At 49.9% G+C, this 24,905-nt stretch overlaps 1 protein-coding gene and 1 pseudogene across 1 annotated transcript; one reads left to right on the top strand and one right to left on the bottom strand.

Annotated features, from left to right (window-relative positions):
- The first annotated feature begins 1,882 nt into the window (after positions 1–1,882).
- On the top strand, positions 1,883–12,116 carry GOLGA6L24 (golgin A6 family like 24). Its single transcript, NM_001394758.1, has 9 exons — positions 1,883–2,099; positions 3,746–3,874; positions 4,961–5,011; positions 5,100–5,193; positions 5,289–5,395; positions 6,773–6,831; positions 7,162–7,303; positions 7,956–9,716; positions 10,373–12,116. The coding sequence occupies exons 1-8, from the start codon at positions 1,944–1,946 to the stop codon at positions 9,714–9,716; spliced, it is 2,499 nt and encodes an 832-aa protein (NP_001381687.1). The 5' UTR covers positions 1,883–1,943; the 3' UTR covers positions 10,373–12,116.
- Positions 12,117–14,289: 2,173 nt separating this feature from the next.
- Positions 14,290–18,199, bottom strand: LOC101060587 (pectinesterase inhibitor 10-like; annotated as a pseudogene).

The raw sequence follows: 24,905 nt of genomic DNA, 5'->3' as shown, positions 1-24,905 counted from the left end.
TGAAAAGCAAGAAGTAATACAGTAAAAGTTTGCCTGGCTACAGGCTTTGGAAGAATGGAGTATTCTGGTTTAAGTCTATTAACTTGGAAGGATGAAGGTGGAAAAAATTCAAACCTTTAATTTCCTGTTGAATGTAATTTGAAAATATAGCCAATGAGTCCACTTTTCTTCTCTAGTAAGTTTGGACATTCAGATCTACTTGGTCTTTTATCATAGAACTCCTAGTGTGCCTGAGTCTTACGTTGTGAAAATCCTTTTCTAAAACTTTAGATGTAAGAGGATAGAAATGATATTGGATGAGATCAGGCTGGATGAGAACTGATACCTGTAGATATATTTTTTAGATGAAATCTCTGATTGCCACACGTTTTCTTATTGAACTCATAAAAATAAAACACACTGGCTGGAGGGTGGAAGTAGGAAGGAGATTTATGTCTTTTAATTGCATGTCATTGTTTCATATTGAGACAGAACGTATAGTATCCCTGGCTGTGGACCTACAAAAGGAAACACATTTTTCTACCTGCTGTATGGCAGAGGTTCCTGAGCACCTGGAGGGATTATTGCAGCACGGATTGCTGGGCCCTACTGCAGAGTTTCTGATTCATTCATGTCTAGGGTGGGGCCTGAGAATTTACATTTATAAGAAGTTCCCAGGTGCTCCTGGTCCGGAGACTACATGTTTGAGAGCCACCCTTACATACTAACTGTAAATTGTAGAACTCTAGAAAAAAGCGTAGTTTGGACTGGGAGAAGAAGCACACAGGTGATGGAGCAAATCATGAAAAAGTCAACCCTTGATCCCAGGTAACAAGCAATACACAGTGACATAACACAATTCTTGGTTTTCATGATTGCAAGTCATAGCCAAGTATCGAGTGAGAAATTCAGTTTCATTTTCAGGGCTTAGAGGCCAGGTGATTCTAGAAAAATCGGATTTAGTGATTAACTCATGAGAGTAGGAGTTATTTATGTCCTTTTTCTCTCCCCCATCACTTAGCATTTAGCCTTACTTTAGAAGGGTCCTGTATTTGCTTTAACCTTGTAAAGAACTTTGAGTGCTTATTAAATGGAAAGCCTTGTGTGTGTGTGTGTGTGTGTGTGTGTGTGTCTGTGCATGTGTGTGTGTGTGTGTGTATTTAGAGACAGAGTCACATTCTGTAGCAGCCCAGGCTGAAGTGCAGTGGCATGATTTTGGCTCACTGCAACCTCTGCCTCACAGGTTCAAGGGATTCTCCTGCCTCAGCCTCCCAAGTAGCTAGGATTACAGGCACCTGCCACCATGCCCAGCTACTTTTGTATTTTTAGTAGAGACAGGATTTCATCATGTTGGCCAGGCTGGTCTTGAACTCCTGAATTCGGGTGATCCACCCGCCCCAGCCTCCCAAAGTGCTGGGATTACAGGCATGAGCCATCATGCCTGGCTCAAAGCTTTGTATTTTTAAAGATATTAGACATGTTTCTTGTTTGTTTGTTTTTTTTAAAAAAACTAAATGCTAATGTAGGAGAATAAGAGAAAGTTTTTCCAAAAAAGAGAAAACATTGTGATTATCTTATTGGAATGTTGGATAATAAAGTCTGCTTTATCAATCATCAAGCACACTATAAAATTTCCATTTTAATAGGACTTGTACCTCAATTGAGGTAATAAAGTTTTAAAGTTTTTAAAGTGAAAGCCAGCCCCGCCCCTCTCCTGGAGTGGGCGGGGACAGCGGTTGCATAGGCAGCTTTCCTTGTGACAACACAGGTCCTTGATGACACGCTGCTGTCTGGCCACACCTCCTTTTCCTTTCATCTTTCTCATTGACCAATGGGCTTCAAGCATGAAGGCCACACCCCTATTCTGCATTCTAGTGCAGCCCTGGTTACGCCTCTCTGGCTCAGTCACACAGCGACGTAGAGGTGACTGGAGGTATATACTTGTCCTCACCTGGATCATGCTGATGTGGCCCCAACCCCACCTCCCTACCCATCCCCACCTCCCTACCCATCCCCACCTCCCTACCCATCCCCACCTCCCTACCCATCCCCACCTCCCTACCCATCCTATGATGTCCAAAGAAACCAGACAGAGCAAATTGGCCGAGGCCAAGGAACAGGTAAACGCACCAACACCCCAACCCAACCCGAGGCCCCCTCTGACAGCCGAACTGCTGCCAGAGTCTGTGCCACTCCTGAGGGACACCAGGCTGGGCCCCCCACCCCAGTGTCTCTGGGCTCCCCACACCAAAATCTTGTCAGCCAGCCCAACCCCCTCATAAGTCCTGCCCCTGCTCTGCCCGGCACACCAGGGTGACTTTGAGCAGGTGACTCCTGGGGCTTCCAACTCCATACTCCGCCCTTACCTCCTGCTACCCCAAACCCGACCTCCCTGGGCTCCTTGAGCTCACATCTCCAAGGACCTGGGTGCCCCAGAACCTGCCCTCACCAGTTGCCACAGGGTGACTTTGGGGATGTGACTCCTGGAGCTCCTTGCTCCTTAATTGGCCCTCACCTCCTGCCGCCCCAAGCCTGACCTCCCGGGGCTCTTTGGGGTCACGTCTCCAAGGACCTGGCTCCCAATTTTGTGACCCCCTCCCCAGTCTCAAAGCGGCAACTTGGGCATTGCACTCATGTGTCCCCCCCAACCACTCCACCGAGGAGTAGAATGTAGTGATGTCACAGTCCCGCTACAAACTGTCATTACTACCACAAGACCGGCCTTTGGTCTTAGGACCCAGTCCCCTAAGTGTTCTTGCCCACTTCTGTTTCCTCTGGTTGCAGCACAGGTTTCCAGCTGGAAGGGGAATGGGGACTGTGGGACCTAGAAGAGAGAGGTTTCAGGCTGCCTGACTTCCTTACCACAGACCTTGACAGTGTGAAAAGCCTACACCTCCCCCATGAGCTCAACACGTTGACAGTGTCTCTGGGTGGCAATGGGAGAACGGGTTTGGTTTGGTTTTCTCCCAGGCTTCTACTCTCCAGAGAGATTTTAACATTTTTTCTCAGTTCTGCACCTCAGATTTGAATTCTCCATTGTTCTGGGACCAGAGTGCCCCTCAGTCACTGGTTCTGGAGTGAGATCTGCTTATCTTCTGTGGAACAGATCTTGGGAAACTGAACTTAGCTTGAGTCTTCCTCATCTCATCTCAACCTGGGGTACTTTGAGTGCCACAGGATAAATATGGGGCATCTTTCTGAAGCATCAGTTTCCCTTGATTCTATTGAGAGACAAAACATTAATGTACTTAGGGATGAAAGTCACATAGATTTATAAGCGTATACAAGACTTCTCTCTGAAATGAGGCTTGGGTTGTCCTCTTTCTGTTAAATTCCCAGATTTAGCAGAAAGGCTGCCTTCTGCCATGAGGAGACATTGATGTAAAGGTTTGAGAGGTACTGGTGTACTTTTTAACACTAACAGACGTGTGAGGGTGAATAACCCTAAACCACATAGTGCACAGTTCCTGCCTACTTAATATTTGCTTTTCTACCTCTGCCTCTGGTTTTGGTCCCTGGCAGCTGCTGATTTAGGGCAAAATCCCAGAGCTCAGAGTCAGAAGACTGAGTTTAAGTTCCATTACTGCCTTTTTTTTCAGCCATGGTATCAATCTCTCTCAGTCACTAAGTGATTGTGACAACATTTCCTACAGTTGGTGGCATTAAATCAGATGGTCTATAAGAGTATTTAGTATAAACTGTAAAGCAGGATGTGACTGTAGGAGCTTGTAGTTCTCATGAGTATCACTGCTCTTCCTTTCCACAGTTGACAGACCATCATCCCCAGACCAACCCTAGTGTTGGTACAGCAGCAAGCGACACCAAAAAGAAGAAAATAAATAATGGCACTAACCCTGAGACAACCACTTCTGGTGGTTGCCACTCGCCTGAGGATGTGAGTCTTGGCTGGCCGGGCTCCTGGGGACAGAGGGCCCAAGGGGTGGTGGAGGGTAATTGTTAAGATTGTGGAAGAACTGCCAGGTACTGGCTAAGAATTCTGGGTTTGAATCCTACCCCTCCATCTGCTAGGGATATGATTTAGCGCAAATTGCTTGAGCTCTTTGGGCCTCTCTTTTCACATCCGTAAAATACGAGTGGTATTGTTTTCCTTACATTTGTGAAGTTTAAATGAGATTTGTCATTGTGTTTTTATGTTAATCCCTCGTCCAGGACCTGCTGTAAACTCTCCTTCTTGGGCTTGCGTTTCCTGAGGTAGAGTTAGAGAGTATCAGAGGTTTCTGTTAGCTCTGAGAGCCCGAGAGTTAAAGGCCCACTAGAATGGAAACCTCGGGGCCAAGGGCTCCTGTCTGCCTTTTCTGACCTCTATTCCCGCTGTGAAGAACCGTCCCTGGCCCGTATGTGCTCAACGTTTGCTGAGTGAATGCACCTTTCTAAATCACAAGCTGGCGGAAGGGTGGGCTTTTCTCGCACTCCACCTCTGAAGGTTTCTGTTACTGTCTTTTCAAGAGAATCTAGTTTCAGACTTTGAGTTCTGTGGCTGTGGGCAAAAACCAAAAAGACCCAAATCCTTCTTCTTTGGGAGTTGAGGAGAGTTGACCAGTTCATGTTCCCATTGGGTCTGAGAACTGTGCCTTTTAAATCCATTCCTGGCCCCTGCCTATCGCTTCCTGGCCTGGGGAATAGAGTCAAGGGGGCCACCCTCAGTCACCTTCCTTTGACTCTCCCCACAGAAACAATAGAACCGAGCTCAGCTGGAAGAAGTAGTGTGATTTCTTTGCTCACGACATGACCGCTGGGTTTGGGGGCACTCAGATGTAGAGGCCCCAGGCTCATCTCACCCACTCCCAGCCTGGGGAAGAAGGCTCACCCCCAAGATTCCACCCCATCCCCACAGGGTCCCTGATAAACTGGTCCCATGGGTGGGCCTGTTCTGGGGCAGTGGTGCCATTCTGGGGGCATGTCTCTTGCTGTGCCATCTCTGCCTCCCCCTAGCAAGAGCTCTGTTTTCCTCTTTCTATAGGAACAGAAGGCAAGCCACCAACATCAGGAAGCCCTAAGGAGGGAGCTAGAGGTGAGTGGAGGGTGTGAAGTTCCCTCCTGCCCTCTGGAGAATGTTTCTTTGCTTCTCTTTCAGCATTTGCTTGTCTTTTCTCCCAAAGGCCCAGGTTCAAACCATACGAATCCTTACATGTCAGAAAACTGAGCTTCAGATGGCACTTTACTACAGCCAGCATGCTGTCAAGCAGTTGGAAGGTGGGAATCTGGCACCCCATCATCCTTCAACCTGGCACTTTGACAGGCCTTTAGGGGGAGTCCTTTGGGCCACATCTGAATGTCTCTCATTCCAGGAGAGGCCAGGGATCTGATCAGCCGCCTGCATGATTCATGGAAGTTTGCAGGAGAGTTAGAGCAGGCTCTCTCTGCTGTCGCTACACAGAAGAAGAAGGCGGATAGGGTGAGTCCAAACACGGCCCCGTCCCTTGGGAGCCCAGCTTCGCAGATGGAGGAGTGAGCCTAAAGGTCCCTTCTGTAGGATGGAGTGTCCTGCCCAGAAGGCAGCATGGCCATTTCTTGCTGCTTTTGTGTGTGGTTGTTAGAGGCAGACTGGGGCTGAGTCGGCTGTTGTGGGTGAGTTGGGGAGCACTGTGAGGAGCGAGCACTGGACATAGATCTCAGAGGCCAAGTGCCCGCCCTGCCCATACTTGGCTGTGGCCTTGGCCAAGTCCTAAGTGGCGGTTAGGGTACTTGTACCATAAAGGTACAGAAGAGTATCTTGAGTATGTTATTATTTGTGTGGAGAGAGGGGGCAGGTGTATATGTGTGTGTGTGTACGTATTATGGTAACATACATAAAACACGTTTGTAAGGATTCATTAAAAAACTCAGGATAGAGGCACAGTGTTGGGGGGAGATATTTCCCTTCTGGACTTTCTGAGTTTTGGACTATGCGAACGTATCATCCTTTCAAAAATTCAACAAAGGATTAATTTCCTCCTTCTTAACTGTGCCCCTACCTCCAGCGGAAGAATGGGCTTAGAGAATCAGATATACCTGGGTGTTGAAATCCCAGCTCCAAGTGATCTTAGGCAGCACTTAACCTTTAATACCGCATGTTTTTCATCTACACAATAGAGGTAATAATGGTAACCGTCTCCTATGGAGGTTGTGAGGATTAAATGGGATTGTTAGCATAGTGCCTGGTGAAGCACCCAATAAAGGCTCCAACAGTGGTAGTAATAACAGTAATAACAATAACAATATTATCTGATCGCTCTGGGCCCCTGTTAGCCAGCCCTAAATTCAATCTCTTTCCCTGTCCCTTCCACATCCACTGAGTTCTTTGAAAAACAAATGAGGGCCAGGTGCTCTCGCTCACGCCTGTAATGCCAGCACTTTGGGAGGCTGAGGTGGGCGGATCACCTGCGGTCAGGAGTTCAAGACTAGACTGACCAACACGAAGAAACCCCGTCTCTACTAAAAATACAAAATTAGCCCGGTGTGGTGGCACATGCCTGTAATCCCAACTACTCGGGAAGCTGAGGCAGGAGAATTGCTTGAACCCCGGAGGTGTAGGTTGTGGTGAGCTGAGATTGTGCCATTGCACTCCAGTGAGGGCAACAAGAATGAAACTCTGCCAAAAAAAAAAAAAAAAGAAAGAAAGAAAGAAAGAAAAACAAATGAGACCATGGGCTTGGAAATGCCTTGAGAACACGTCAGGTGTGATTGAGAGTGAGGAAGTGTTACTGTGGAGTAGTCACTGTAGCAGTTGTTCCTGGTCGTCCAGCTACTGCTGTGCCTGCTCTATCCTGACTTAACCTTTCTCTATTTGCAGTACATTGAGGAGTTAACAAAGGAGAGGGACGCCCTGAGTCTGGAACTGTACAGGAACACGTAGGATGGGGGAAGGTGGAATGGGAGGTCTGGGGGCCCTTAGCATGGGTGGTGTGCTGGGAGGTGGGGGGTCCAGGTGAGTGTGGGGAGAGGCTCATACATGTTTTCATGTGTGCACACGGAAGCTCTAGTGCTGGCTGTGCCACTGACTCATGGGGTAGCCTCAGGCAACTCATGTCTTCTCTCTGGCCTGCCACCTGGGACTTTTAATTCCTGGGGTCCCTTCCAGCGCCACGGTTCTGTGGTTGTGGGGCGAGGGTAGGGGGTCAATCACCAAAGTGGTCTTTTATGTTCTTCATTCATTCCTTTCTCTACTGCCTCTGGCCATAGCATAACTGATGAGGAGCTGAAGGAGAAAAATGCCAAACTACAAGAAAAACTTCAACTTGTAGAATCTGAAAAGTCTGAGATCCAGCTCAACGTAAAGGAGCTAAAAAGGAAACTGGAGAGGGCCAAGCTCCTGCTGCCACAGGTGAGCAGCTGCAGCCCCGGGGGTTGTGGGAGACCCATCCAGCTGGGACCATGGTCTAGGGATCATGCAGGGTATGGGGAGGCTCCAGCCAAGAGCTGGAAAATTTGGGTCCTTGTTCTGGCCCCGCCATAGAATCCTCTAGAGTGTACTAAAAATGTACAAATTGGGGCCCTGCCTGGGGAATCAGAATCTCAAGAGTTAGGGCTTAAAAATATTTTTTTAAAGGATCATGGATGAAAACCATTATTTTATAGATTACATTTATTTATTTATTTATTTATTTATTTATTTATTTGAGAAGTAGTCTCACTCTGTCACCCAGGCCAGAGTGCAGTGGCGCAATCTCGGCTCACTGCAAGCTCCACCCCCCGGCTTCACGCCATTCTCCTGCCTCAGCCTCCCAAGTAGCTGGGACTACAGGTGCCCACCACCACACCCAGCTAATTTTTTGTATTTTTAGTAGAGACGGGGTTTCACTGTGTTAACCAGGATGGTCTCGATCTCCTGACCTCGTGATCCGCCCACCTCGGCCTCCCAAAGTGCTGGGATTACAGGCGTGAGCCACCGCGCCCAGCCTATAGATTACATTTATGTGGCTAGCTCATGATTCTGCTTCCTTCTGAGGTTCAAAAAAACACTTTCACTATTCCAGCAGCAGCTGCAGGCGGAGGCTGACCACCTGGGTAAGGAGCTGCAGAGTGTGTCAGCAAAGCTCCAAGCCCAGGTGGAAGAGAACGAGTTGTGGAACCGCCTGAACCAGCAACAGGAGGAGAAGATGTGGAGGCAGGAGGAGAAGATACAGGAGCGGGAGGAGAAGATACAGGAGCAGGAGGAGAAGATACGGGAGCAGGAGGAGAAGATGCGGAGGCAGGAGGAGATGATGTGGGAGAAGGAGGAGAAGATGCGGAGGCAGGAGGAGATGATGTGGGAGAAGGAGGAGAAGATACGGGAGCTGGAAGAGAAGATGCACGAGCAGGAGAAGATACGGGAGCAGGAAGAGAAGAGGCAGGAGGAGGAGAAGATACGCGAGCAGGAGAAGAGGCAGGAGCAGGAGGCGAAGATGTGGAGGCAGGAGGAGAAGATACGGGAGCAGGAAGAGAAGATACGGGAGCAGGAGAAAAAGATGTGGAGGCAGGAGGAGAAGATTCACGAGCAGGAGAAGATACGGGAGGAGGAGAAGAGGCAGGAGCAGGAGGAGATGTGGAGGCAGGAGGAGAAGATAAGGGAGCAGGAGGAGATATGGAGGCAAAAGGAGAAGATGCACGAGCAGGAGGAGAAGATACGGAAGCAGGAGGAGAAGGTGTGGAGGCAGGAGGAGAAGATGCACGACCAGGAGGAGAAGATACGGGAGCAGGAGGAGAAGGTGTGGAGGCAGGAGGAGAAGATACGGGAGCAGGAGGAGAAGATGTGGAGGCAGGAGGAGAAGATACGGGAGCAGGAGGAGATGTGGAGGGAGGAAGAGAAGATGCATGAGCAGGAGAAGATATGGGAGGAGGAGAAGAGGCAGGAGCAGGAGGATAAGATGTGGAGGCAGGAGGAGAAGATACGGGAGCAGGAGGAGAAGGTGTGGAGGCAGGAGGAGAAGATACGGGAGCAGGAGGAAAAGAGGCAGGAGCAGGAGGAGAAGATGTGGAAGCAGGAGGAGAAGATAAGGGAGCAGGAGGAGAAGACACGGGAGCAGGAGAAGATACGGGAGCAGGAGGAGAAGATACGAGAGCAGGAGGAGATGATGCAGGAACAGGAAGAGAAGATGGGGGAGCAGGAAGAGAAGATGCAAGAACAGGAGAAGATGCGGAGGCAGGAGGAGAAGATAAGGGAGCAGGAGGAGAAGATACGGGAGCAGAAGGAGAAGATACGGGAGCAGGAGGAGAAGATATGGGAGCAGGAGGAGAAGATACGAGAGCAGGAGGAGATGATGCAGGAACAGGAAGAGAAGATGGGGGAGCAGGAGGAGAAGATGTGGGAGCAGGAAGAGGAGATGCAAGAACAGGAGGAGAAGATGCGGAGGCAGGAGGAGAAGATAAGGGAGCAGGAGAAGAAGATACGGGAGCAGGAGGAGAAGATACGAGAGCAGGAGGAGATGATGCAGGAACAGGAAGAGAAGATGGGGGAGCAGGAGGGGAAGATGTGTGAGCAGGAAGCGAAGATGCAAGAACAGGAGGAGAAGATGCGGAGGCAGGAGGAGAAGATAAGGGAGCAGGAGAAGAAGATACGGGAGCAGGAGGAGAAGATACGAGAGCAGGAGGAGATGATGCAGGAACAGGAAGAGAAGATGTGGGAGCAGGAGGAGAAGATGTGTGAGCAGGAAGAGAAGATGCAAGAACAGGAGGAGAAGATGCGGAGGCAGGAGGAGAAGATGCGGGAGCAGGAAGTGAGGCTGCGGCAGCAGGAGGAGAAGATGCAGGAACACTAGGTGAGGCTGCAGGAGCTGGAGGAGAGGCTGGGGAAGCTGGGGCAGAAGGCCGAGCTCTTGGGGGGAGCAGGCGGAGGTGTGTGCAAACCCTGGAGATCATACAGAACGACCTCACCACAACTTAGCAGATGGTGGTTGGCTCCCTCTGCTTTTCCACCAGTCTGTGGCCTACAGTTTAAATGGTGGGAAGAAGGGTGTGAGATTTGAGGCTGGGGAGGGAGGCATGGGCCTCTAGGCAAGGGAGGCAGTCATTTAGGCCTGGAGGAAGGGGCCAGGGCCAGGGGCCTGGGTAGGCGACAGAGCCCCGCAGTGCCCTCACTACCCTGTTTATGGGCCCAGAATCTGGAAGCCAGCCACTACCTACCCTGACGCCTATCCTGCAGGTGGAGCTGAAGAGCCAAGAGGCTGAGTCTGCAGCAGCAGCGAGACCATTACCTGGGTCACCTGCAGCAGTACGTGGCCGCCTATCAGCAGCTGGCCTCTGAGAAGGAGGCACTGCCCAGCTGCAGCAGCAGGAAGCTCAGGGCGAAGCGGTGGCCGAGATGGCCCACCGATAGTTGCAGGAGACCCGGTTGAGGGAGTTGATGAGGGCGGGGCCCCAAGGGGGATGATCTGGCAACCTCCGTGCCTTCTCACTCTCTTTCCTGGCCCCTTAGGAGCACCTGGAAGCTGCCATCTAATGAGCACATGACAAGAAGGCAAAGACAATAAACATGTAAAAGCCGGCAGCAAGGCCTGGAGAAGAGTAAGCCGCCATGTGACTGTTTAGAATATAGTCTGAGCACAAACCTGAAAAAAAAATTTTATTTATTTTAAATTGTGGCAAAATACTGGCCAGGCATGGTAGCTCACGCCTGTAATCCTAGCAATTTGGGAGGCCGAGGTAAATGGATGACCTGAGGTCAAGAGTTCAAGACCAGCCTGGCCAATACAAAAATTAGCCGGGCATGGTGGCGCATGCCTGTAATCCCAGCTACTTGGGAGGCTGAGGCAGGAGAATCGCTTGAACCTGGGAGGCAGAGGTTGCAGTGAGCTGAGATCGTGCCACTGCACTCAAGCCTGGGTGACAGAGCGAAACTCCGTCTCAAAAAAAAAAGTTTCTTCCTTACATGTATGTTTCTATTAGTTTTCTTCTTGGTCTTTCTCATTTAGTCTTGTGTTGTCTTTTGGCATTCATAGTAAACTTTTATCTGCCTCCAGAGAGTATTGACTTTGAGTTTATGGCACACAATTGGAGTAAGGGCAGATCGCCTTCATCTACTTCGGGACTAAGCTGGTTCAAAGCAGGTTTTAGGTTTTCTGATGGCTGGTCTATGTTTTATTCATTTGGACTCCCAGGGGTGGCCCTTCCAGGGTCCCCACCAAGGTCCCATCTCCCTCCTGGGACCCAAATTCTCATTAGGTCATTTCAGCCCTGTGAGAGTGCCAAACATTCAGCTAGGCTCTCCAGCCTCTTAACTACCACTTCATACTCAGTTTCTTAGCCTCTTAGCCCTCTACTGTTGACCAATCACCAAATGTGGGAAAGCACTACAGACTGTCAGGATCACCTCCTAGGCCTGGTCACTCAAGTCCTGACTGAGGTCTCCAATTACCTTCCAACAATTGTTTTTGATTGGGGGCGGGGCACATTTTTATCCAGTTTTTCTAACTGCTCTTGTGGGGAGGCGAATCTGTAACAAGCTCCTCTGCCTTTATTGAAAGTTGAAAACCTTCATCTGTCCTTTTTTTGTTGTTGTTGAGATGGAGTCTTGCGCTGTTGCCCAGGCTCTAGTGCAATGGCACGATCTCTGCTCACTGTAACCTCTGCCTCCTGGGTTCAAGCAATTCTCCTGCCTCAGCTTCCCGAGTAGCGTGTGCCACCATGCCTGGCTAATTTTTTTTTATACCTTTAATAGAGGCAGGATTTCACCATGTTTTCCAGGCTGGTCTCGAGCTCCTGACTCAGGTGATCTACCTGCCTCAGCCTCCCAAAGTGCTGGGATTACAAGTATGAGCCACTGCATCCGGCCCATCTGTCTTTTAAAACATGTTTTTAATTGGAGGTATAATTTCTATTAGTGAAATGCACAGGTCTGGTTTACATTTTGATGAGTTTTAACTCATTTAACATTACTATGGAACCCACCTCCTTTGAAGATACAGAGTATTTCTATCATCCAGAAAGTTCTCCTGTGCTTTCATGCTGTCCCGCACTCCCCCAGCAGCTGATGAACATGCTGAGGACATTGGTACTGGATTCTGGCCGCCCCAAAAGAGCCGCTTTGACCAGGCTTACCCAGCACTAAATCCCTGCCTGCTCTCTCAAAATTTCCATCTTTAAACTGGTTGTACCTATAACCCTCCCTCATCAAGTCAATAGATAAACAAACCCTGAAAAATAAACAACTCTTCCTGGCCCAGCAGCCCACAGCCTAATATTTACTGTATTCCCAGGCTTTCAGAAATGTAACTCGCCTGCCGGTTCACCCTCACTAGGGCGGCAGCTGCACGGGAGCAGCTGGGCTCACCCATTAAGCAAGAAGCCAATAGCTGGACAGTGACACTCAGACCCCAGGCTGGGCGAGCCTGGCTGAAAGCCCCCTTCTTTCCATCCGACTGTGGAGAAAGGGGGCGGAGCACACACAACTCTACTGCCCTCCACATCCTTCACCTGTGCTTCCTCCTGGGAGAGGGAGCCGCTCATTAATTTGGCCAAAGCCTTCTTGAGGGCTGTAGGTTTCACAGGCTGGGTGTGTGGGGGCCACCGTGCTAGAGACAGAGGCTGGTGTGTCAGAAGGTAGCCACCTGGCCAGAGGGGGGTCAACCCCCTTGGTGACCTCCTTCCCCCGGCTGGACACAGTGCCCTGCACTCTCTACATGTGACTGTTCCCCTCAGAGCTGCTTCCAGGGGAGGGGTTCTAATCCTGTGGGTGGGGACATTGTGTTACTTTACAGTGGGCCATGGCTCCCTCTGACATCTCCAACTCAGAGGCAGTAGAGAGAAGATGAGAAATTCCCTGCCCCTCCTCCCTCAGCACCCCCACCTCTGCACATGTCCACATGTGGAGACCCTGACAATGGGCCCTGGGAGTGCCGCCATCTGTGCCTGCTTTCCATGCCTGCAGCAGCCATGCCCACTCTCCAGACCCTCATCCGCCTGGGTCAGTAGACGCTTCACTGCCTGTGGTCCTGCGCCTACACCTGGGCCTCTGTACCCGTCAGTTCCCCCAGTCTGGTTCTTATTCCCTGCAAAGAGTAGGGAGCCTATAAGGTCACCTGTTGAGCAAGCTGGGGGAGAGAGTAGGGTGGGGCTGGGAGGATGAGGAGGAGAAGCTCATGGTCGTGCTGGAGACTCAGCTGAGCAGAGTCTATGCAGGCCCATTGGCTGCCTACCCAGTGGTGATCTCGCTCCCACCCTCATTTCTTCTTTGTTAACAAAACCATGACCTCATTAAATACTGGACACCTATAAACCTCATGGACCCTCCTCCAGCCTCCCCACCGTGTACCGGTGAGTCTAAGTCAACTCTAGTCATTTCATTCCTCTGGACATTGACTGCTTAGGGCTTGGGCATGAGCTGCCTCTTCACCTGAGCCTGAGCCACAGGTACCCTCTGCACCTACCACGCTGATGCACTGGGCCAGGGAGAGCGCCGTCTGGATGGAGATGAGCTGTGAGGAGCTGGTGGCTGGGCGGATCAGGTTGTTGTAACAGGTTTTGTTCAGAAGGTCGTCCATCAGTTTCTGCTCGGCATGGGCCATGCGGCAGTCCCCTGGGTAAACACACAGACATGCTGGGCCCTTGTGCAGCTGTCTCCCACTGCAGCTGACAGCTATGAAGCAGGAGCTGAGAGGGCCAGGGAGCACAGACACCCTGAGAGCTGGCTGAAGCAGTGAAGGTGCTGGCCGGCCTGGCTTTCCCTGGGGACTTCAAATGACATTCACGACAGAGCTCAGCTACCTCCTCCCCATGCCATACCTCTTCCTCCTCCTCCTCCCTCCGTCAATGAACAGCATCCCACGCTCTACACATCTGATACAAAACTGGGTGTCTCTTCCTGACTCCTCCCTTGGTTCACCCAAGTGGCCACCAAGTCCTGTCTGTCCTCCCATCTCCACGGCTACAGCCATGTCCCTGCCTCCCCCGCCCTGCCCACCTTCTGTTCTCTCCACCTGCACTCTGCCCCTGCCATCCATGTGCCATACAGTGGCAGACTGATCTTTCTACAGCAAACTGGACGAGGGCCCTTCCCTACCCACAGCTCTCAGAGCTGGAGGTGGAGTTGAAGCTCATGTTTTGGCTTGGCATTCAGAGCTCTTTCCCCCTCAGCACTGGCTTATCCAGAGTGCTCACAGTGCAGGGCAGGAGCCTCGTGACTCAAATGTGGGTTTGGTGCAGAACTGGGTCTGAGGTGGTGCTTTCCCTGTGAAGAGACAGGGCCGACATGGGGGAATTTTCTGGGTTCAAAGTTAGACCTACAGAGTGCAAAGTTTCTCTGAGGCACCAAATGGAGGGGTCCAGCTAGCAGCTGGCTCCTGGTCTGGAGCTTCAAGGAGAGGTCTCAGCTCAGAGCCACATTCAATAGCCAGCTTACATGTGGCCTCCTGCAGGGAGCCCCTGGAGCTTCCACAGCCTCCGTTCTGCCCCTCTGCATACCCCAGATCTCCTGCTAAGTGGCGTTTGGGTCTTCATGTCATCTCCCTCCCATGTCTGGGAGTAAAGGTGAGGTGCAGGGACTTGCGCTTGTGTACTCTGGTGTCTTAAGGGAGAGTGTGTCAAGTAGAGTGGAGGCGGCTTGGAAAGAGGGAGACTCAGAGGAGAGTGAAGGACACATGACCAGGCGAGCCTGGGAGCAGGAAAAGAGAGTGAGCAGAGGCAACTGCTGGGTCAGGGGAGCGGATGGGAGGATCAGGGAATGCGGGGGGGCTGGAGAGGTAGGGGTGGGGATGTTGGCGAGGGGCTGCCTGGCTCGCCAGGCTCAGGAGTCAGTTACATCCTCCCACAAGGGCCAGCTCACCTGGTCGCCCCAAAGACCTCCCTCTGTGGGTGGGACCAGAGGGCCAAGAGCACGGATAACCCAATTGAGCAGGACTGAGGCGGACTCAGGTGGGTGCTGGGCCGGACTCCTGGCTGTGGGGAGCAGCCGCCACCCTGCCTATTGCATCCACTTTCCAACTCGCTGCCTATCTGAGCAGATGCGATATTGGGCACCTTGTGAAACATGCTCCTGGTGCACCTGCTGCCTGCTGCCCCTCCTGCAGAGTGCCCGGGCTCTCCAGAGGGGATTCCTATGGAGGCTTGGCCTAGATTCTGAGTCCTGCCTCTCATACCTGGGGCTGCTACCCCAGAGGCCAGCTGCTTGAGTACCCCGGAAGCCAGTCTGTAGCCCCAGGCTACAGCTGGGTCCATCCCACAGCCCTTCTCTAATGTACCTATTTGGACTGGCTGCTCATTTCATAGAGAGGGGTGTGTCTTGCCCCAGACCATCTGGCATGTCTAAGGCAGCTGTGGGGTCAGAATCTGCAGCTCCCAGCCCTCAGCCCAGCAATAGTAGGAAAGGCTGGACCCCACATCTCTGAAGTCCCACTGGGTTGGTGTGAGCGGGCTCCCGAGTACAGGGCTGCTCTGCAGGCTGTGGGGCTCATGCGCCAGCTCTGAGCCCACCTGATGTGCTCACGTTGCTCACCTTTGGGCCTGTCCTGCCTCTCAGGCATTCGGCTGACCCTGAGGGCCTCTCCCTCATCTTGACCACCAGCTACGGGCTCTGATTTAGAGGTTCCCAGAACCTTAGACCATTTGGCCGGCCCCCCATTTCTCACCTGAGGAAACTGAGACCAGAGAGGGATAGCAACTTTCTCAAGGACCCCCAGCAATTCAGAGGCAGAACCAAGTCTAGGAGCCTCTTCTCGATAGAGGTTCCCCCTGTCCCCTGAGCCTTCGTTAGTGCCTCATTAACTTCCCTGTAAGGAAACTGCCCCGCTGAGGCTGGAAATGGTGCTGTCCAGAGTGGTGTGTGCCAGTGACTGTGCTTGTGTTTGTACTTGTGAGTGTGTATGGGGGTGGGGATGAGGGGTGGGAATAAACGGCAGGGATGCTGGGGGCTGGATGCACTCCACCTCACCCCAAAAAGGGGCACAGCAGAGCCCAGCCAAGCACAGCACATGCTTCGACTTTCCAATCTGCTGAATGCCTGTGAGGCCGGCTGGGCCCAGAAGACAAGGGACAGGCCTTTCCCCATAGATGGCAGGGGGGACCCAGGATGGGTGGAAGCTTCTGCCGCAGCTTTGGGGGTCACAACCCAGCCCATGGGCTGACACTTAAGCAGAAAAGCCACCTCTAGGGGTCAGTCATAATCTAGTGATTCTGATGAGGAGGGCCCCACCAACCTCTGTCCAGGGTCTTGTCTGGGAAAAACTGCTCCCTGGCAGAAAGAGGCTAATAATTTGAGAGGAAGCCATAGCTGAAACCCTAAGCTGTGTGAGTGTGTGTCCAGTTTGAGAAAGCATATCCGACTTAAACATTTGTATTGAAAAAATGGAAACATATTCCCCTTGTTTTGGAATACAAACTGCAGAAAGCAGCAGTTAACAGAATCTTATCGGAAAGGTCAGACTCTGCATCTGGAAAGGCACAGTGATTTTCAACTGCGGTGTGTGTCCTTAACTGAGGAAGGGAAGGTGAGATTTATGTTTAGTAAAAGGCAGCTATGAATTTACCTTTTATAAAGAGCTTGCTATATACTATTAGTGCTTTTCAGTCATGTCAGAATCAGCCAGATGCCTGTGGAAATGCAAATTCCCAGGCTTCATTCCCAGAGATTCTGGTCCTGTGAGCCTAGGGTGGGGCCCAGAAATCTCTATGGGGTGGTGCAGCCTGCCCCAGGACCACACCAAGAAACACTGCAACTGGCCCACACACATCCCAGTCCACAAATATGTAGGCAGGCATCTTATCTCCACAGAACAGATAGGGAAACTGAGGTCAGAGTGGGGAAAGAAACGTCATGGGGCCACCCAGCAAGTAGTAGCAGAGCCACGATACACCCACTGCCTGCAGACACCATCTCTGATGACAGCTCCACCTCCCCACAGGAATCTTGCCTACCCCCACCCCTACCTCCTGCTGCCCCTATGGTGGGTCTCCGTCCAAGGAAGATGTATCCTAGGTCCTCTAGGCTGACTGCGGCTCAGAGGAAACCTTGGCCCAGAGTGTAGGAGCTAGAGGGGTCCTTGGAATTCACGTGGGGAATTTGAGGCCCAAAGAAGGCAGTCCTCACATTTGAACTCTGTCTGGAGAAGGGCTAGGTCTTCTTCCTGAGTGGTAGTTTTGACTTCACCAGCCTGGCCCTCAGTCAAGCTGGCTGTCCAGGCCCGCCACACCTCGGGGTGGGTGACCAGAGGCGGTGGTGCCATAAAAACACGTTTCCTGGGAGATCCACCCCCAAAGCTCAAAACATTCCAGGGCTGGTGATTTGGGCAAGCCCCCTTCCCTCTCAGCCCAGTTTCCCCATCTCTGCAACAGCCGTGCTGGTGGAGACTTCTGATACTGAGCTGCAGATTTTCTCCTGGGTGCCTACACAGCCCAGGTTGCCGGCTCCTCTGTGCCCACTCTTCAAGAAAGTCAGCTCTTAGGTAAGGAAGGTGCCTTGGCCCTATCAGGAGCAGGAGCCGGTGCACCCCCAGCTTCCCAGGCCAGTGGGGATGACCCAGGCTGCCTACAAAGCTGCTGCCCAGCCCAGAGACACCCGCCTGGGAGGGTGGCCCTGGCCCTTGCAGCGGCTCTGAGAAGAGTCGGCCCCCACTCCAAAACTGGCAGAGCCACCCATGCCTTCCCTCAGCCCAAAGAGGCTTTTAGGAAAATGAATCGTCTCAAGTTCAAACCCATGGGGTTGCTGAAAGACAAGACAGTGCAGGGTGAGCTGGTGCGAGGGAGCGCTGCTCGGTGCAGACTTTGCAGGGAGGGCACTTAGGAAAAAGGACTGGAGTCTGGGAGGGTTAACTAGCTTAGGGTTAAAGGGAGGGGATGGAGCTGGAGTGAGCTGGCCTCGTCCTCCCCCTTGGGCCTTCCAGCCTGGGCTCAGGTGATTCAAGGGAGCAAGCACCTCCCTCTCCCAGCCAGGGAGTTCTCGCCACATTCTGCAATCAGTACCATTCCCCTGGGGGCTGGGTGACAGCCCCCACCTCTGGACCTGGCTGGAACTGCTGTCTCAATTCTAGATCCAAAAGAATCTCTGGCAGCTTCTCCATCTCCCTCTCAGTCCAGCCTCACCTCTTCGCCCGTGGAGGAGCTCCAACAGCAAATCTGGCAACTGGAGGAACAAGGCAGGAAGGGCAGGGTCTGAGGAAGGAACCACCTTCAAAAGGCAGCTCTGCCACCTTCTCTCCAGGACTCTCAGGCTTGCTTTCCTATTGCTCCCTCGACATCCTTTTGCTATAATCTGCCATGTTGACGTATAGTCTTTAAAAGCAACAATGCTGTTGACGTGGAGCAGACTTCCCATTTGGGATGGTTTGGAGAAGTTAGGTTTGAGGGCATCCTCTCTTCTGCAAACTGCAGCAGTAATAGATGAGATATACAAAGTAAATAAAGGCTGGGTGCGGTGGTCGTGCCTGTAATCCCAGCACTCTGGGAGGCTGAGGCAGGAGGATCACTTGAAGCCAGGAGTTCGAGACCAGCCTGGCCAATATGGCGACACCCTGTCTCTACTAAAAATGTAAAAATTAGCTGGGCATAGTGGTGCACACCTGTAGTCCCAGCTACTCAGGAGGCTGAGGCAGGAGAATCACTTGAACCCGGGAGGCAGAGGCTGCAGTGAAATGAGATCCCGCCACTGCATTCCAGCCTGGGCGACAGAGTGAGACTCCATCTCAAAAAATAAAAATAAAAAATAAAGTAAATAAAAAAGACATGCCCAGGCTGAAAAATAAGTTAATTATCTCCATGAACGAAAAGCAGACAAGAAATGCAAAGTGGTTGGAGGCTGAAGAGCCTGGACCCTCCTGGGCTTTGGGAACCAAAGATGGTGGCAAGTCCTTTGGGATAAAGAGGGACAAAATGACTCCTAGCTAGAAGCTGGGAGCTTGGGTGTACCCCAGTACTTGAAAGGATGCTAGCTGGGCGCGGTGGCTAATGCCTGTAATACCAGCACTTTGGGAGGCCGAGGGAAAGTAACTCTTATGTCAGTGTGAAGCAAATCAGACAGGACAGGGGAACATGGAGGGGAGGAGAGCCAAACCAGGGCCTGGTTCCAGACCCACCACACCCGCCCCGTTGAGCCAGGAGCACAGGTGGCTCTCTGCACAACATCAAGAGCGAGGACATGCTTTCAGCTCCACTTTAACTCAGGTTCCTAATGTGACAGCAGGCTTGTCAATCCCACTTGCCCCCGTGTCTCACACCAGAAAACTACCAGCAGTGTGAGTAAGGACAGAAGCAGGAGACAGAGGAGCCAGGGTTGGGGAATCCCATAGCAACCCACAGGCCCTCATCACACACGGCAAGGATGCGCCTTCACTGGGCTCACCACCACCACTCGACATCACCTTCACTACATGATACCCTGCCTGGATAACACCACTGTAACACAAGAAACAGGTCTAGAATCTAGCATGTATGCTACACCTGAAGGAGCAAGAGACGGTAATACAATACAATGAAATTTTTAGTTTATTTAATATAAAATTTAGAGCCATAATCAAAATGTGTAATTCTGATGGGATTCACTACTTATAAAAACTTTGCAGCGCTCTATTTTCAAATGTAAATGGTATTCTGTGGCTCCTCGCCAGCAAGTAAATAACGATCTACTCTGAAATACGTTTCACGGCTTATTTTTGGCAAGCAGCGATTTCTCCAACTCACGTTTTCCAAGGGAAAAAAGGACGTGAAATGTCTCCAAAAGTCTCTTACGATCTTTAGATAAACTACTGTTCAACAACTGCATCTGCCAAGTCAACACATCAAGAATCCTTCACTCACAAACACTTAAGGTGAGAAAACAGTGTCTACCCATGCGGGAGAGGGACACATGATCCATGCTTATGAAGACAGCCTGGATATCGGCTACTGGAAAGCTGCGAATGCATTTTTCTTTTTCTACTTTCCAAAATTTTTGTGAGGTGATACTTATTTCTATGTTTGTGTCTATTCTTTCTATTTTGTATTTTTTAGTAGGTACATCCTTACTATAAATCTGCTGTAGAACCAATGTCCCATACAGGACCCCACGTGCCACAGGAACCAAAAAGTCACACGCAGCGAAGACGAAGACACAGGAGACAACCTGTGTGGACAGCACAGAGCCACCTGCCCAGGACACCAATGGAGCCACAGGTGCAATTCAGAATGTTCTTAGTCGTATTAATAAACATGGCCAGGTGCGGTGGCTCACGCCGGTAATCCCAACACTTTGGGAGGCTGAGGTGGGCAGATTACCTGAGTTTGGGAGTTCAAGACCATCCTGGCCAACATGGTGAAACCCCATCTCTACTAAAAATACAAAAATCAGCCAGGTATGGTGGCATGCTTCTGTTAGTCCCAGCCACTCAGGAGGTTGAGGCAGGAGAATCATTTGAACCCAGGAGGCAGAGGCTGCAGTGAGCTGAGATCGTGCTACTGCACTCCAGTCCAGGCAACAGAGTGAGGATCCATCTCCGGGTGGGGAAAAAAAATTGTTTTTAGTCACATTAACAAAAGTAAAAAAAAAAAAAAAACACACCAACAAGAAAAACAACAACACATAAAATTAATTGTACTAATGGCTGGTTGCAGTGGCTCATGCCTGTAATCCCAGCACTCTGGGAAGCCAAAGCGGGCAGATTACTTGAGGTCAGGAGTTCGAGACCAGCCTGGCCAACATGGTGAAACTCTGTCTCTACAAAAATACAAAAATCAGCCAGGCGTGGTGGTAGTCCCAGCTGCTCGGGAGTCTGTAGTCCTGTAGTCCCAGCTGCTCAGGAGGCTGAGGCAGGAGAATCACTTGAACCCAAGAGGCGGAGGTTGCAGTGAGCCAAGATTGCACCACTGCACTCCGGTCTGGTCAACAGAGTAAGATTCCATCTTAAAAAATAAAAATAATTTTAATAATGTATCATAGTTATTCCAACAGATCAAAAATATGACCATTTCAACATGAAATCAATCTAAGAAAAATTATTGAGATATTTTACATAGGTTATTTCATATTAAGTCCTCAAAAACCATCTGAGTAGCTTACATATGTAACACATTTCAATTTGGACAGTGAAATTTGCATTGAAAACATCTGATCTCCATTTAGACTCATAAAATACACAGTTGACAAAGTAGACTCCCAAGGCCAAGTGATTCTAAACATACTTAAGTGCTTTCTAATAACAGAATCAAATTTTCAAACCTGCATTTTAATGAATAAAAATTAAACAGATAAAATATTCAGTGTCTCAGCTATGACGGACAGACTTCAAGTGCTGATCAGCAAACGGTGTTGAGTGTAGCCAGATGGGCCAGCGCAGGCTACACAGCTGCAGCTCAAACAGCACAGCTGCAGGTCAAACAGGCCAGTCTCTCTGCGCACGGGAACAGTCTGGGCAAGCAGGAGACGGGGAAAACGGGCACTGCCCTCGTGAGAACAAAGGACCCACAACAGGAACCCTGCACTCACCCCCTGCCAAAGACCAACAGCCCCACGAAGCAGCCACTTCAGAAAAGGGAGAGGCATTCAAGAACTTAGAAAAGCACCTCTGGAAAATGCTCACTTTAAAACTTTGCATGTAACTGTACATTTTAATTACAAGGTTTTTAACATCCATTTTCTCATGTATTCTTAATTAACTCTGTGAAAGTAAACACAGCTTTTATTCTTACTCCTATAGTTACTGTGTTGGAAGTCCACCTATATGAACAAACTGTTGTAACTGAAATTTTCTGAGAACAAATCCCAAGCTCTTTCCATCGACACAAACTATATTGTTTAGTTCTCTTTATTTCCATTTGTTAAAGACCAGAATGTGTGAAATATGCATTATCAGATTAGAAAAACAAAACAAACATCAGAAAAAGGTTTTGCAAAATAGCATTTACTAAAATCTATGACAGAAACTAGCTCTAAAACTTCCTGTTTCAAAATTTCACTGTGTGTGCACTAAGTTAGTTTTGCTGGCTGTGGACAGCAGGCCCACCCCACGCCGCGGGCCCACCCCACGCCGCGGGCCCACCCCACGCCGCGGGCCCACCCCACGCCACAGGCCCACCCCACGCCACAGACCCACCATGGCCCCATGAACAGGCCAGCTGAGAGCTGCAGCCACTGCCCAGGGCTCCCTGGTCTGTACTCGGCTGCCTGACCCAAGCTGCCAGGGCTCTGCTTTCTCTATGTGTAGAAACAAAAACCAGGAGCATCAGTTGACGAAAAGCAGATTTTTATTGAACAGAGGTATAAATGTGTTTCATTTTCTAATAAATCTCTTTCACAAATCACCTTGCTGTTTCGCTCTTCTTGAATGATCATTTTTACACAACACTGTCTGACTGTTTTGGCTTCTGCCAAGGTTAGCGTCTGTTCACAGGCTGAGTCTGACTTCCTCCTCCCACCTCCTCCTAGTCTGGCCTTCCAAAATAATGCTCACCATTCTATCACATTGACTTCAGTTTTGAAAAGAAAAGTTATCTTACAAAGCAGTATGTACAACTCTGTAATATGTAAAGTGAGGCAATGATAGAACCAGTTTTAAAAATAACCTTCCATGATGATTTTCATTCGCACCTACCTGCTTATTAGTAAGAATCTTTTTACATGTTTACTGCACGCCCCAATTTCTCTTCTGTGAAAAACTTCTGAGTATCATCACACCCTCCAACTTCTCCTCTCACCTATATTGAGAAGGGTCTGCTCTTTATCCTAACATCTATACTAGGTAATTTTCAGAATATTCCTTCAATCATCAAACAAATTTTTGAGACCCTTGCGCTAGATTTCACTATCTTAATATGAAAACCAATAATCACCTATTAAAATACAATACAGGCCGGGAACAGTGGCTAACACCTGTAATCCCAACATTTTGAGAGGCCAAGGCAGGTGGGTCACCTGACGTCAGGAATTTGAGACCAGCCTGACCAATATGGTAAAACCCCATCTCTACTAAAAATACAAAAATCAGCCAGGTGTGGTTGCAGACGCCTGTAGTCCCAGCTACTCGGGAGGCTGAGGCAGGAGAATAGCTTGAACCCAGGAGGCGGGGGTTGCAGTGAGCCAAGATCGTGACACTGCACTCCAGCCTGGACGATAGAGCAAGACTCCATCTCAAAAAAAAAACAAAAAACAAAAAACACCATTAATAAGTAAATAAATAGGCCAGGCGTGGTGGCTAATGCCTGTAATCCCAACATTTTGGGAGGCCAAAGTGGATGGACCACCTGAGGTCGGGAGTTCAAGACCGGCCTGACCAACATGAAGAAACCCTGTCTCTAATAAAACTACAAAATTAGTGGGGCATGGTGGCGCATGCCTGTAATCCCAGCTGCTCGAGAGGCTGAGGCAGAGGAATTACTTGAACCTGGGAGGCGGAGGTTGCAGTGAGTCAAGATCGCACCACTGCACTCCGGCCTGGGCAACAAGAGCGAAACTCTGTCTCAAAAAAAAAAAAGTAAATAAATAAAACACAATACAATACAGCTAATATGATTTACCTAAGAAGCTGTTGTATGAGCTGAACCAGAGGCAAACACTGTTTGCCAGAAGACTCACAGATCCCCGTATTAATAAGGTCTTTATCCAATGGAGTCCTCCTTCTATGAAATGTTGAGGCATTTGCTTCCTGTTCATAAATTTCTTTTTCCTTCCGTGCTTCTTTTTTTGTATCCTGTAATTGACAAACAGAAATTGTTTACAAGTGATCTCATTACCAGGTGTGAAGGCACACAGGCTGGCTGAGCCCTGACCCCAGTGCCAAGCTATCCCAGCCTCTGTGGCTGCCACACCCATCCACCCACAGGCCCCCCACCTGCCCTGTTGGAAACCCCAACTCATTTGTGCAGTTTCAAACAGTGTCTTCTTTTTACAGATCCAAGGTCCAGGCTGCCTCTGCTGATGCTCTCCAGCCTCCTTCTGTGAAGTCCCTAAAATCCTTAACCCTGCTAATGGCTCACACAAAACCCAATGTGATCGGCTCCACACACGCAGCATCCAGCTGCTCTGTAAGGACAAGAAGGAGCTAGAATTCTCACACACAAAAGTCCTGGTTCAAATGCAAATGGCAAAGCCACTTTGGGAAACTATGAACACACACTTACCCCAGGACCTAACAAATTCCACTCCAAGTGTTTATCCAAAGGGAGAACATATGTTCACTAAAGTACTTGTTCACAGCACAATTGTGGCAGCTCTACACGGCCAAAAACCAGAAAGCCTGGGCGCGGTGGCTCACGCTTGTAATCCCAACACTTTGGGAGGCCAAGGTGGGGGGATCACTGGAGCCCAGGAGTTGAAGACCAGCCTTGCAACACAGTGAAACCTTGTCTCTACAAAAAAATCAAAAAACTAGCCGGGCATGGTGATATGTATGTGGTCCCTGCAACACAGGAGGCTGAGGTGGGAGGATCATTTGAGCCTAGGAGGACAAGGCTGCAGTGAGCCAACCTCAGGTCACTGTATACAGCCTGGGTGACAGAGCAAGACCCTGTCTCAAAAAAAAAAAAAAAAAAAGAAAACAAAAACCAAAAACAATTACATGTCCTTCAATAGGAGAATGAACTAACAAACAGTACTACACCTATAAAATGGAAAACTTCCCAATAATAAAAACGAAGTCGCAATACACACAACAGTGAGTGAATCTGAAAATCATTCTCCAAGGCAAAGCAGGAAAGAGTGCATACTATACAGTTATATTGCTGCGACACTCAGAGCAGGAAAAATGAATCTAATCTCAGGGCAGGGGAGTATCCTGGCTGCAAGTGCCAAGGAGCACAGGGATCTTTCCGGGTGACGGGAATGGTCTACATGAGGAACAGGTTACCTGTTAACTTCACTGAAACAGACAACATGCAGTATTTTATCACAAATCATCTCAATAATTTTTAAAATTAGCACATAAAAGAATTTTAATTTAAAAAAATACTTGGATATAAGTTTAGTGTTTTACTGTTTTCAGTTATTCTTCACATGTGTGAGTGTGGTATTTCCGATCTCAGCCCACCACCAGGTCACGTGTGCCTCCAAGGCCATA

This window comes from Homo sapiens, chromosome 15 (assembly GCF_000001405.40).
Source record: "Homo sapiens chromosome 15, GRCh38.p14 Primary Assembly".
In the NCBI taxonomy this organism is placed as follows: domain Eukaryota; kingdom Metazoa; phylum Chordata; class Mammalia; order Primates; family Hominidae; genus Homo; species Homo sapiens.
Note: the sequence above shows the minus strand (reverse complement) of the source record. Positions and strands in the feature narration are given on the sequence as shown.

Excerpts from the sequence above, each read along its gene's own strand:
- GOLGA6L24 (NM_001394758.1), top strand. The coding sequence starts at position 1,944 with ATGTGGCCCCAACCCCACCTCCCTACCCATCCCCACCTCCCTACCCAT. Across the intron at positions 2,100-3,745 it reads TGGCCGAGGCCAAGGAACAG|TTGACAGACCATCATCCCCA; the intron begins GTAAACGCACCA and ends TCCTTTCCACAG. Across the intron at positions 3,875-4,960 it reads GTTGCCACTCGCCTGAGGAT|GAACAGAAGGCAAGCCACCA; the intron begins GTGAGTCTTGGC and ends CTCTTTCTATAG.